This window comes from Homo sapiens, chromosome 8 (genome assembly GCF_000001405.40).
Source record: "Homo sapiens chromosome 8, GRCh38.p14 Primary Assembly".
Taxonomy (NCBI): Eukaryota; Metazoa; Chordata; class Mammalia; order Primates; family Hominidae; genus Homo; species Homo sapiens.
Window position 1 is genome coordinate 138258864 of NC_000008.11, and position 14942 is coordinate 138273805.

The window sequence follows — 14942 nt, forward strand, 5'->3', positions numbered from 1 at the left end:
TGCCTTATCTCAATTAGAGTCATCATCTCCTTTCAAGGGTCATTTATCTCACGACCAGGAAGCAGTTTTGCAAACTAGTAGAAATAATATAAGAAGCTAGCATTTACAGAAGAGTTATTATTTGGCAGGTAATAAATTATCATTATACATATACTATTTTATTTAATGTGGATAAAACTATGAGTTAGGAAAGACTGTCCTGCATTTACACATGAGGAAACTGAGGCTCCCTGTGGTAAAGGCATTTTCCCAAACTCAGCTAGTGAGAGTCCCACATCCCAAATGCTGTCAAGGGCTCCATTTCTTTGGCCTTCTCCCATGGTCACATGTGTGTTCTAGATTGGACGTTCTCTCACTGCTTGGTTTCAACTCATAATGGTGACTCTCTTGTTTTCTCCTCCATTCTTAGCTACTAACTTGAGCTTTGTCACAGCGTGATGGCTAAGAGGGCAGCTTCTGAAACCCAGATACACGTGTACGACTCTTAGTTCTATCATTTCATATCTATGAGACCTGGGGCCAATCAACCTCTCTGTTGTTTTCTCATCCATAAAATGGGAGTAAAATAATTACACCTACTTGCAAAGCATTGTTATCGTGTGAACTAAAATTTAAAAACGTACACAAAGGGCTTTGTTCACAACTGAACTGACAATTCTCAACAAAGGTTAGCTATTATTATTGCTGTCATTTTCAACCATGGGGGCTGGCCACAGGAGGGACACATTCCTCTATCAGCCTCACATAGTGCCCATCCTGCACACTGGTCACAAACACAGACTTTGTGATCGGACGGCCCAGGTTCAAACCCTGGCTCTACGACTTCCGGGTGGTATGACTTTAGATAAACGCCTTCTCTAAGTCACTGTATCCTCATCTGTAAAACAGGAGTAGTAAAACACCTCATCACCTTGTTGCAATAATTCAATGAGGTATTCCAGACAAAAAAATCAGCACAGTGCCTGCCATACAGCACATACCTTATAGGTATAAGATGCTGTTTGTTGGAGTTCAATCAGGCTGGTGGGAAAAATATTAAAGATAGCTATAGTAATAGTCAAAAACTCTCTTGGAAGGCCTGAGAGTTTGCGTAGCTTCAGATTGCTTGGCTGAAGGCAGCCAGGGTCTCTTTGCAGGAGCCAGAAAGATTAGGGTGCAAGTACAAAGGAACATGGGAAGTTTATCTTACTAACCTGTTTACTTATATGGGCTTAAGACTAACCTTTGTCCTACTAGGGATACTTTACTGCCTCCTACTCAGGGGTCAGCAGAAGTTTATTACCCACAAACTGTGTTTGCTTTAGGCCTGAGAACCTGGCCTTTAATCTTTACCCTCTAGTGGTGTTTACTCATAACTTTTGTTAATTAGTCTTACTGAATAAATATGAGCCTCACTAACTGACCAGGGCTGAGTCGCAACTGTTTACAGAACTCAGCTTGGAGCCTGTAAGCCGCTGGGCCCCTCAGCTGGACTGGCAGAGCAGAATATCTGTGTCAGTGTATGTTTATTCATCCATCGCCGAATCACGGGCTTGCAGGAACAGACCCCCCACAGCTAGTGCCCCCGCGAAAGGGGCACTGCCTCTGCTGTTAGTGCTAAGATCCTTGTGACTGTTCTTATAACTCATCCTGAACTCCTTTCACTCCCTAGTAGAAGCTTTTCTTCTCCCAACTACCCTGGAGTATCAGTAACTCCAAGCCCATTTCATGGCCAAATCTTAGAGTCAACTTCCATTTATCATTCCTCTCTACATGATGCCTGCCAATGCTCAACCTGAACCCAGTCCTAAGGGCTGCACTTGGTGGCCAGGCAGCTCACCCTTTCCACTCACACAGTTTCCATTTACACAGTTACGACCTCTGCCATGATGCTCACCAAGACACCATGCACTATAGCAGCAACTGCCTGTATGCCCTTGGTCTCCTGGGCCCCACTTTCTATATTATTGCCAGACTGACCTTTCTAAATGCCAGGTCTCCTCCTTCTGTCCTGAAGGAGACTCCTACCTTTAAAAAGGAAAAATATGACCTTTGGCGGAGTCTCTGTGGCTCTCCGTGCTGTGTCCTCAACCTTCCTCTCTAGCTTTGTGTCCCTGCCAGTTTCTAGCCCCTTAGCAACAATGCTTTCTTTCCCAAATCTGCCTTCTACTTTACTGCTTTTTATGGGCCTTGCTGTCTTCTGTCTCAGGAGCTCTTAACAACTGGTTACTGTGGAAATCGTGCCCATTTTTCTACTTATCCAAAAACTCTGAATCAACTCAGCCCCCTTTCTGCTTCCAGCAAAAAAAAAAAAGAAAAAGAAAAAAACAAGCCCACCTCTGTCTGAATCACCAGGTCTGGCCTGGGCTCACGAATCTGCATTTTGTATGAGTACTGCCAGGGGACTGTGATGCCGGTGCACCAAGGAATCACACTTTGGAAAATGCTTTTCCTTTTTAAGCCTACGAAAATGCAATCTTGCTCATAAAATGTGTTTCATATGTAATCTTTTCCTCTTCTTCCTCAGAGTGGCAAGCATTTTGTTGTTAATAATTGTATCTTCTTCTTTGCTTTGCCTGCTAGGAGCTTAGCACTAAATACATGGGTCACCACTATCAAATATCCAGAGGGTGTTTGTGCATTTTGGTCCAATACATTTACCCCAGCCTTTATTTTCCTGTATGTATTTTTCCTCCACTCTGCCCCATTCCATTGCTAACTTTTCTTTTTACTATTCTATGCATTTTGTAAGGCTTCCCAAATCTTCTGTGGGATTACGCAGAGTATATAAATAAAATACACACACTACCTCCAGACTCACTCTTTGCAACTGTTATTATAACATCTCCTCGTACACCTTAACTTGTGATTAGTTCTGTCCATGGTCATCTCTTGTACTTATCTGTGACCTCATTGCACAACTGAATCTTCATGTCTGAATTTCTTATAGCACATGGAATCATGTGTTTGATGAATAGGCATTTCATAAATGTCTGTTGTTCACAATGATGTCTATGTGCATCCGTGAACATAATTTCTGGCCAACTGGCTATCAGCAGTGTTTTGGTTGTCATAAGCAGACTGATACTAACTGGAAATGCATCCATTCCAAATATACAGTGTTTACAGACATATCCAATTAACTTTTATTATCCCTGATTTGTATATAACAATTAGCTGTGCCATTGTTTGCTGCCATATGGATTACCCCCAACACAATAATAATTTATTAGCTTACAGAGAAAAGAAATTTGATAGGAAGAAGAAAACAACATGTAATGTGAAATAGACTCCCCATTCAACTTGAGAACTAAGGCTGGCTACAACCTCACACGACCTAAGGTTGAGGGTTGGGAAGGTCAAACTTGAAGGCTTTAAATTGTCAGGGACAAGAACAATTCTCTGACGGAATTAAGATGGAGCAATGGCCAGGATACCTGAATAATGCCCAAACCCAGCCTCCATCACTGGTTTGTCATTAGCACTCTGCCAGGGTAGCTCTTTGAGATCAATGTCCCAAGGGCAAAGGCCCACGGGAAAAAATGGAGCATTGTTTTCTTATTGGGATTTGGGGAAGTGGACCTTGAGCTTGCAGTCTGTTTAACTGGGAGTTTATTACCACTCTAGGCAACCTAATGGTATTGTTTCCTAAACTAAAGGTATTAACTTGAGTCCAGGAAGGAATTAGAGGATACACTCAACATGAGGACTCCAGGTACAGTTTATCAAAGGGGTGATTTACAAAGTGTGTGGAAGATTTAGAAAAAGCAACTAACGGCTGGGCGCGGTGGCTCACACCTGTAATCCCAGCACTTTGGGAGGCTGAGGCGGGTGGATCGCGAGGTCAGGGGTTCAAGACCAGCCTGGCCAACATAGTGAAACCTTGTCTCTACTAAAAATACAAAAAAAATTAGCCGGGCATGGTGGCGGGCCACTGTAATCCCAGCTACTCAGGAGGCTGAGACAGGAGAATCACTTGAACCCAAGAGGCGGAGGTTGCAGTGAGCTGAGATCATGCCACTGCACTCCAGCCTGAGCGACAGTGGGAGACTCTGTCTCAGAAAAAAAAAAAAAAAAAAGCAACTAACAATGGCTGAGTTCTCAAGGTTAGTAACTACGGGACTTCCTTATCATCCTAGGCCTGAAGAGTCAAGCAGAGACAGCGGTTATCAGAACTGGAGAGAAAGCTACATGGAGTGTGTCTCCGTGACTGGAGCTGGGGCCTTTGGAAGAAGGACACAGCAAATGGTATGCTGGCAAAGGTTTAACAACTGGCTCTCTGAAGAAAAATTAAAATTAAAAAAAAACAAAACACTGTTTTGTAGCATTGGCAGTTTCTCCGGTGTAAATGTTTTCATCAAGCTATGAATGTGAAGTCGCTAAATAAGGAGTTGGAAAGTGGTCCGTACCCGTGGCTATCAAAAGCTGATATAAGCAGGCTCCAGCACACCGCCGGACACAGCCAACCCTCCAGGACCCTGCAGGGAAGGAGCCTGGGGAGTGAACAGTCTGGACCCATTCTCCTCGTAGTCACTTGCAGAAGCTCTCATAGGCTGAACTCAATGGAAACCAAAAGGTAAAGACACGACTGAGCAGTTCTTGCAGCCAGTCTCTTGGGGCACATAGCAGGTGGGACAGCAGAGAGGGGAAACGGCCAAGTAGTCGAAAGCTAGCCAGCATGGCTAATAGGAGTTTCATTTGTTCTTTTAAATTTTGATTTCAGATCAAGTATTTGCAGTCACTGTGATGGCATAAGGGAGACAGGGTCAGGTTAACTGAAGGCTCCAATGAGTGAGGTGTGTGTTTCTTGAGGTATTGAAGCAGGCAACTGTGGTCTGGACATGATATAGAGAGTCAAGGGCCATCAAACAGGGCACATGGTGGATGCTCATCCCTGTTTGGAAAGAATAGCTTGCAAAGAGCCTAAAAAGAAGGGATTACAAGTTAAATTCATTCATTCAACAACTAAGTCATTCACTCCATGTTGGGTATCCACAGTGTAGTCCTATGGCTACTAGGGCACTCAGGATGCAAAGAGAGATACAATCCTGTGGAGCTTGCAGACTGGGAGAGGGACGACAAAATTCTAAAATAAAAATTGTGCCATTGCACCCTTCTAACAAAATCAGTGGATTTCTATTGCCCAAGAATAAGCCCTAAATTCCCTATCATGGCCCACAATGCTGGGCCTCCCTGCTCCATCTTCATCTCCTGCTCCTTTCCCCTCCCTCTCTGTGCAAGTCACCTCAGCCTTAGTGCTTTTCCTGAAACACCCCAATGTCATTCCCACCTCAGGCTCTTTGTCCTTACTGTGCTCTCCTCCAGAGCTGATATCTCCCTGAGCTCATGGCATGCCTGAATCTTCCTCCGCAGTTGGGTCTCAGTTCTGCATTGGCTTCTCTGGGAGGCCTCTTCTGTCTGTCACTTGTCCTCCAGGGAATAATCATCTTGGGTGAAGGTTGTGTTGAAGGTTGTGCTGAGTTCTTGACATTCTCACTATCTGAGTATCTGTCATGAGACAACAGCCAGTCTTGCACAGCAGGACCATCATGAGGTCTCTTCCACTTTGGGTACAGTTGTAGCTTCACGGGGCCTCCAGTGAGGGTGCAAACTCCTATACTCTTATCTCCCTCATGAGTGTGTCTCAGAGACTAGGGAGCTGAGTATGTAGCAGTGAGAAGGCTCAGTAATAGAATATGCATGATCGATTTATTTAATTACATTGTGATATATTGATCTAATATTAGAAAACAAGTCCAAAATGCCAGAGATATGTCATGTTCACTATTTTTACCTCCAGCACATAGTAGGTGCTTAGTGAGTACTCAATAAATTTTTGAAAGAATAGATAGGTTAAGGAATAAAGAATGAGTGACAGCTTTTCAATTTTAGCCACAAAGAGGAATCTGGTCACTACCTAGATAACAAAAGATGTGGACAAAAAGCCAAGAAGCCTGAGAGGAGAAAGATAATAGATGCCCAATAGGAGCTGTTGTGCACACCACATGAGGAATGCAAGTAGGGGATTTCTAATTAGAACTTCCTAAAATAGGAATACTCTTTCATATAATTCTCGATATATTCTAGCAGAAAAAAATCAGCTCGAATATGGCAACAGGTACACTTCAGTGAGGCTGGGGGAGGCAGATCAAAAGTTTGAGCTTCAGATATTCCTTTGAAATTTGTTAATCTGATGAATAGGAAATTTTCAATCAAGTTTCCAACTAATAAAGCGAGCTCCCCAAGGCCTCGGGGCTTGCAATGATGCTGTTTCCCCTTGTTCGATGCCCTTCCTCTTTCTTTCTCTGGTGAATTCAGCATGTGCATCTGAGGCCAGCTCTTTTGTGTAAGCCTTGATGAACCCAGCTTTGTCATCTCCACAGAGATCATTTCTCACATCACCTGCCAAGGTGTTTGCTTATATATCTGTTTTCCTGCAAAATTATCAACCCTTTCAAGGTAGAGTTCCTGCTGCCTTCTCCGGTTCTGTCCCTTACCCAAGGGTCCCACATAGAGCCCTGCAAAAAGTAGTTACTCAAAACCACCTGCTGCTTGACTCATTGACAGAGGGCCTGAACAGATGTGCAACTGGGCAAATGAGGAGGGAAGAAGAGACCCAGTAAATGAGTCAATGGAGACTGTTTGCACTTGAGACTACATGGAACAAGCAAATATATGAATAAAAAAATGAGTAAAACAACGAATACATAAATAAGTGCATGAGTGCACTAAAAGCACTAATCTCTGTCAGATTTCAAAGTAAACCCATACCTTCTTCTTTCAACATTTACCTAGCAATGAGAGAGAACAGCCATGATAGGGAACAGCTACTTGTGGCTGGTGGTAGATTCATGACTTACCCTTTCACCACCCAAGAGTAAATGAACTCGGAAGACCACAGCATCATTTATGGGTACCTCTTCATTCCGGTATAAGATCTGAAAGACCCGGCTGTGCACGGTGCTGTCATGGACACAGGCTGAATGCAGGCTGCTGCTCTCTGCAAAACAAGAATCAGTAGGAACCCATGAACTCCAATACTGTCCTGTACCTGCAGCCCTGTCAGGTGTCTTTCCTGCTCAAGTAGGCTAATGGCCCCAAGCTGCCTTCCAATTTCCAAAGCTTAAAATCACAGTAAATGAGACCTCACCATATGAATGTTTCTGTTTATTGAGTCAGGCTGGTATCTCAGAAAAACCTTGTTCCATCCCTTACAAGCGATAAAATCTTGGCTAAGTCACTCATGCCGTGGGCAATGCTCCTGGGCTGCTATGCAGTGCCTGCTCAACTTCTCACCTGTTCACCTGTCCCCTTCTCTGTGAAGCATTCCATAAACCTCCTCTCCCAGAAACAATGAGGAGAAGAACGGGGAGTAAAAGACAGAAAACACCCTTCCTTCTACAAGGACTTCCTAGTGCCCATAGAGTCTCTCCCTTCTCAAAGGTGCTGCTTGCACATCATGCATGTCATGAGAACACTCTGTCTTGCGTTTTAGGAAAATGTGCTAATCCTATTATGCTGTATATCAAGTTTTAAAGGAATTGGTTTAGCTCTGTATCCTCCAGTGCATTCTAGATATACTATATCCCTAAACGGTACTTCAAAGTTAAGTTATATTTCAACAAGACAAATCTATGCAATGCTTCCACTGTCCAGGGTTATTTGGGGGAACAAATGGGTGAACTCCTCCAAATTACTTAACACATAAACTATACAGTTGGAGATACGTGTAAAAAATATATGTGTGTGTATATATATGTATATGTATATATATGTATATATGTGTATATATATACGTATATATACATATATATATATTATTCTAAAATAAATAGCACTGCCCAGGGTTATTGTGGGGGAACAAATGGACGAACTCCTCCAAATTACTTCACACATGAACTATACAGTTGGATATACATGTAAATACATATATATACACACACACACACATACACACACATACACACACGCACATACATATGCGTATATATACATACTAAAGTAAATAATACTAATATTTGTATAAGGCAATGATTACCTATTGATTACCTATTTATAATAGGGAACAACTATATGGCATTTTACAAGTTCTAAAGTGCTTTTCAATTGTGGTTACTTTCCTTAATTATCATAACAAACCCATAAGGTAAATTTTACACCAGATGAAGAGACAAAGGCTCAAAGCAGAGGCAGGTGCCTAAATATGCACTTGTTATGAATGTTTATGTCTCCCCAAGATGCATATCTTTCACCAATGTGATTATATTTGGAGGAGGAGCCTTCAGGAGGTAATTACATCCTAAGGGTAGAGTTCTCATATATGGGATTAATGCCCTTATAAAAAGAGGCCAGAGGTCTGTTCCCCTCACCTTTCCCACCATGCAAGGATACAATGAGAGAAGTCATCACTCTGCAAACCTGGAAAAGGACCCTCACCAGAACCTGACCATGCTGGCATCCTGATCTCAAACTTCCAATCTCTAGAACTGTGAAAAATACATTTCTGTGGTCAATAAGGCACCCAGTTTATGGCATTTTGTTAGCAGACTGAGATGGAGCATTGCTATATAATGAAGCATTGTGTAGATTCATCCTCACATCTACCTCTTTAGTAAGAGAGAAAATGAAGTCTCCAGTGAAAGAATAAAATGCATCTATTTCCTAGCAAAGGGTGGGGACTCTATAAAACAGTACTGAAAGAATTAGTTTGACTGAAATGGGAGCCAAGAAAAAAAAAAAAAAAACAGCCCAACTAGCAAAGAAAAATCCTAAGTACCTTGTACACTGTCTCTGGATGAGTCAAAGAGTTCTTTGAAACAGGGACACAGGATCACAGTCACCTCCCAATGCAGTCACATCTAAACAAACACCTACCTTGTAGCTTCTGAGCAAGGAATACAAAATATGTAAAATGCCAGGTTGTTTCCAAGGCTACTCAGATGTGCCTGCTCTAATTTGCACTTTGTCATGAAGGCAATAAAATTACTGGCCTAATGCAGTTCTATTTAGACCTGCTGTATTCAAATTGATGCGGCTATTAAATAAAAATGATTCATGTGTGCAGATGCCTCTCTGTTTTTACTTGCTACACTAGCTCTTTCTCTATCACTGTCTAGGCCCCACTGATCTATAAGCCAGAATGACAATGTGGCAGCGGGTGGATGGGGTGAATACCCTGAAGGTCAGAGCAGCCCTGAGCCGTCTGCCACCAGGAGGGTCAGCCAGCAAAACAGTTCAATCACTTGCTGTCTTGGGCAAGTGACATCACCTCTTGTAACAGCAGCTTTCCATGTGAGAAATGGACACAGCCACACTGACCTTGTGGGATCACTGTGGACACAAAGAGGATAAAATAGATCAAGCTCCTAAGACCAGGCACGCTCTGGGCATACAATATACAGTATGATGATTTTTTAATTGTGTTTGCAGAGAAACTTCTGAGTACTTTCTGTTGAATATATTATCATTGGCCACATTTTTATGGGAGATTAAGCGCCTCTGAATTTGAGCAGATTGGCAAACAGACCACAGGGCTTAATGGGTATTTACTGAAAGTCACCAAATCCCGAGGTGACCCATTAAGCCTGGGATAAGGCATTTTTCATACCTTAGGAGGCTTTCTGGGTCAACTCCTCACCACTGTTAAATAGGGCATCGCATAGAACAGGTGTCTTTTTTTACAAGGGAAGGCTCACCAATCGCAAGACACTTCCCTGGGATTGTGGAGATCACTGGGACAACACTCCCTGCTTCATTCCCATTGGGATTTTCCCTTCTTCAACAACAATCCACATCTGGATACCCGACCCACTATCCTCACTCCTCCTTGCTGGTGAAATCAGCACCCAGAGACAGCAAAAGTACATACTCTCTCTGCCCTTAAAGACTAACTCATACTTTGGGATGGCAGTCTTTCCTAGCTATGTGGTAAATAGCCACTTTTCATTTTAGAGTATTTTTATGTATTTTTAGGCAACAAGATTTCTACTCAAGGGGTCCAATGAGAAGGTGTAGACTAGAGTCTTCCTACATATCTGTCTTCTTCTTTTGTGGGTGTCAGCCTTGGTACCACGCATAACAAGAGTTGAAACTTTAAGGGGAAAAAAGAGATGAAAAGAAAATGGGTGGAAGAAGGAAAGGGAATGTGAAAGAAAAAGAGGAGGGGAGCAGAGAAAAGAGAATACAGCAGAGGAGGTAAGAGGAACTCTTCAGGTTTCAGCTGCACAAAGAATACGTTCCAAACAACTTAACACAGAATTTCAGGCCAGATGGCAAGAGAAAAAAAGACTTTTAGGTGCTGTAGTTTCTTCTTCTCCCCCCACAAAATGAATGATATTGATACTTTATAGATCTATGCACCTTTAAATGTTTAAACCTTAAATGATGACATTCCCTCAGCTGGAGTTCCCAGCAGCCCCAGAGGGATCTGTGAGTGTGGAATACAAAATACAGGTATTATTCTTCTGACAGGGACTCTATGCCCAATGCTCAAACCAACAGCACCCTTAGGGACCATCTACTTGTGGACTAAACCTCAATCTCATTCCAAGAACATAGCCATGGCTCTGCCTGCATGTAGGAGATTCCCAAAGAATCAGTTCTGTGCCCAAACACCAGAAGACAACCCTTTCAATTCCCCAGGCCTGAAGCCAGCTGGCTGAGGTCTGGACTGTGTGAATTCCTTTAAACTCAGGATATACTCAGAGAATCTTCCAACATATTAGAGCCAACAGAAGTGGAAAAGCCCCATTAGACTATGGGTTCCTCAAAGTCACAATGTTGGTTTTCATATGGTTTAGAAAATGCTCCTGTAGTAAGGGAAATATAAGTTCTAGACTTGTCCCCACTTTCCAGCTGTGTGGCCTTAGGCAGGACTACAGAATCCGAGCTCCAATGAGACAAGAATCATGCCTTACTTAATTTCCATAATGAATGTGAGGCTTAGGCAAAATGGTGAGTGAAGAAGTATGTTTTTTACTGAAAAATTATCAAAATCCAAACAGATTTCTTCATAGATTGAAGATGACAACGATTAAGACTCTTCAGGTAGGGTGAATTTTCGGACCCTTTCTAGGAACGGGAAGGACAGAAAGTCACCCTGAAGCCAAACTTTATTTTTTTTCCAAAGATTGTAAGCAATAGGCAGAAGAGAAAGCCACTTTGAAAAAGGTATTCATTGTTTTTCCAGAGAAGGACCAGAATAATTTCCTGTAGTTGAGCATGTGCTGCCTAGCTCACAGGGTCATCGAGCCTTCAATGCCAGGGTAGGGAGGTCCAATACATGACTTCTTGAGACTCCCCCAAGGTTGCTACTTTCCTGGAGAGCCCATCACTGGAGGGCAAGTGGAAAAATATGGATAAGAAACCAGGAACTCCTGGGAGATAGGCAACCATGGTCTTGATGACTTTTCTTAAGGTTGAAAATCAGGGATACTGTTGGACTGGGACAGACCCTTCCCAACCAAGGTGATACTAGTGTCAATCACACAGCACAACCTGTTCCCAGAAATGAAGCTATCTTGAGAAAAGCTGGGGCCCAGAATGACAACTCTGGATGTTCAGAAATGCTCAGGGCTTCATGGGTAGAAGGTTGGTTTGGCTACATTGTGAGCTGGAAAGATGAGGACCCACCTAACCTGAAACAAAGATTGTGCTGTCAAGAGCAATATCTTGGTTCACTGTGTGCTGCAATAACACAATAGCACAGACTAAGTAATTCATAATGCACAAAATTTGATTGGCTCACAGTTCTGGAGGCTGGGAAGTCCAATATCAGGGTGCTTGCATCTGGCAAAGGCCTTATTTCTGCATCATCCCATTGCAAAAGGCAGAAAGGCCAAGAGACAAAAGTGAGCTGAACTTGCCCTTTTACAAAGGCAGGAATCACACCCAGTAGGGTAAAGCCCTCATGGCCCAAACACCTCTTACAGTTCTCACCTCAAAACTGTTACAATGGCAATTAAAGCTTCCACACACATTTTGGAGGGGACAAACGTTTAAATCATAGCAGTTTCTAATGAGTTATAACCTGGGAGCTCAGGGTGGAGGCCCTAGTGGCCTGTGCAGATAACTGGAGCAGCAAAGGGTTCACTTTTGAACACCCTCAAGCTTCCTCTAAATTCTAAAGACCTATGCTTCAATAGAGACCCTGTGTGCCAATGAGATGCCCCAGCAGCAAGGGACTGATGAGATTCATTTCTATCCTAAACTAGCATTCAGAAAATGACCACACTTCATTGTGTCAGCCCAGGGCTTCTTGGATGATGTGACATGGGAAAAGTAAGTGGCATTTCTGCTAACAGGGCATTGAGATCTACAAGCACTTACTTGAAATATCTGAAGAGATGCAATTCTGCTTGTACCTTCAATTTTTGAAGCATATCAAATTGGTGACACATCAATAAAGAGTTGTATTTTGGTTGTCATTTTTATTTCTATCTCAAAGAATATAAAACATTTTTCTTGTTTTCTACTTAAAGTACCCTGCTGCACATGGAGTATTGGATATTTTGTTTTCATGCACATGGACATAAGTTTATGCCTCACCTATAATTTTAGATTATTATGTTTGTATGTTTTTGCTATAAAATGTGTTTATTCATTCATTGAATATTTACTAATCACCTGCTATGCACTAGGTCTTGGGCAAAACATTGGGATTCAGCATTGAACACTCACAGGGTTCCTTTTGGGACATCTATGTTTTACACCTGTGTCTGTGGAATAGCGAATGAATATTCCCATCATTGTCCGACTCCACAGACATCTCCTTGTGTAAATGAATGTTTCATCTTTCCACACACGTTGCATTAGTCAGAATGCCTTATATAGGCTAATTTAAAATTCTGATTGAGGCGGCAAATTATGTAAAACAAACTGAGTTTGATCATAGATGTTATTTATTAATTATATGATTGGAAAAGTCACTTTTCTATAATATATAATACATACAAAATGGTTTTGTTAATTGCAAATTGCTCAATTAAAGCTAGCCTGAGATTTACTGGTCTAAATTCTAGATACTTTATGTTCCTTACATCGTTGAGTATGGTCTTGGGTATATGAGTTTTCATTTTATTCATGAGGAAACTAATGATCATAGAAATTGTTACATCCTCAATGTCAAATATAGTTGATGGTACAATGATGACTCCAAATGTTTTTTTTTTTTAATTTTACTCCTTAATTTGTTTATTCATTCATTCATTATTTAACTCAACAACCACACAGGCAATATGTTAGACATAATTCTGTCACTGGTAAAGATAAAACAATGATGAGGAATCTTATTCAACATTTAGTACAGTATTTCCCAACTTTTTCTCTCCTCACTTCAAATGCACTATCCATCAATTTCTGTTTAATAAAAAAAATCTGAGAATGACAGAACAAAAGGCTTTGCATATCAGTAACACTCAAATATTTAGCGAATCAATCCACCAATCAATTTATTAATAAATACAAAAATGGAGGGATATGACTTTTGGAAGTTACCCAATGTTTGTTATAGTTCTAGTTTGTGATAGTTCTAATATCCAGAATTTCTGACTCCTAGCCTACTCTACAAGAAAACTCAACTTACAAAGCAGATACCATGCTCTGGCAGAAAGTCCTATTTGTAAGAGGGCAACTAAACTAAAGAGCCCACTAAAAAGCACCATTTAACCTACTGAAAATGAGAAAGGCTGTTGCTGCTATTTAACAGGAAGCATTCTCTCATCAACACTGAGTGGGCTTAATTACTTAATTATAAACCATTGTGACCTACTATTAGAATAAGCCCAGTAAGGCCAGCACTTGATAACACTTTATTATCTAATAACATGTATTGCTCTATAATCTCAAAAGTAAAAGGCCAGTGTGTTGCCTCTAGTACACTTTAGTTGCTCAACACAGAAACCCACTGGATTTCCTTCGATTGGTCATAACTGCTGAGTGGTCTCAGGTATTTCAGTTTGGATTTCAATAACAGAGTCCAGTGTATGGCGTTGTACCTCATGCTTGTGTAGGCACATAGATTTGAGTTAAAAGACATGGGTTTACTCTCAGCTCTGCCATTTATACACTGTATACCTGTGAACAAAGAACTTACCCAGTGTAAGCCTCAGTTTCCTCATCTGTGAACTGGGGATGGAAGAGCAATACTGTTTCAGGGTTTTGAGGGTTTTACGAGATGACCTATGAAAGTACCTGGTACAAGATGTAACATATAATAGGGGCTCAGACAAATGGAGTGAATAAACATGCTGCTGGATTAATAGGAGTGTGGAGCTGACATGGCTATTACAAATTATCCAGCATAGAATTTTACCAGATATTAGTAGAAGTCTCAGTGGAAGTGAGGAGTGGAAAATAATCTTTTTTTGTTTTGTTTTGTTTTTGAGATGGAGTCTCACTCTGTAGCCCAGGCTGGAGTGCAGTGGCGTGATCTTGGCTCACTGCAACCTCCACCTCCAGGGTTCAAGTGATTCTCCTGCCTCAGCCTCCTGAGTAGCTGGGATTACAGGTGCATGCCACCATGCCCGGCTAATTTTTGTATTTTTAGTAGAGACGGTGTTTCACCATGTTAGTCAGGCTGATCTCAGACTCCTGACCTCGTGATCCGCCCACCTTGGCTTCCCAGAGTGTTGGGATTACAGGTGTGAGCCACCGCCTCCAGCCAAAGGGAATCTTTAATTACCCTTTGACACTATGAAGAAAGCAGGCTTGGCCCAGGGCAGTGGGCACTGCCTGAATGGAGCATGGAGCATCTCCCTGCTTACTAGCTGGGAGATGCTGGGTGAGATTTCAACTCCACTGGCCTTAGTTCTTTTACAGGCAAAAATGACAACAACAATCCGACTACACTGGGGAGCCAGATGATGCCTCATGCCCACCTCGCCTGTTCTTCCAGCTCTTGCAGCTCTTCAGTTTCTCTCTCACTCACTCCTGCCCCTTCTGGATTCCTAGGCTCCTCCTGCACT

At 42.0% G+C, this 14942-nt stretch overlaps 1 protein-coding gene across 14 annotated transcripts in view; it reads right to left on the minus strand.

Annotated features, from left to right (window-relative positions):
• FAM135B (family with sequence similarity 135 member B) overlaps nt 1-14942 on the minus strand; it is a 367708-nt gene that overhangs the window by 128841 nt on the left and 223925 nt on the right. For 13 of the 14 annotated variants that reach the window (NM_001362965.2, NM_015912.4, XM_011517062.2 and 10 more), the window contains one exon: nt 6840-6979. In NM_001362965.2, the coding sequence (NP_001349894.1) occupies nt 6840-6979 (140 nt within the window). The remainder of the gene's footprint in view (nt 1-6839; nt 6980-14942) is intronic. The other variant, XM_017013471.2, reaches the window with a different exon arrangement.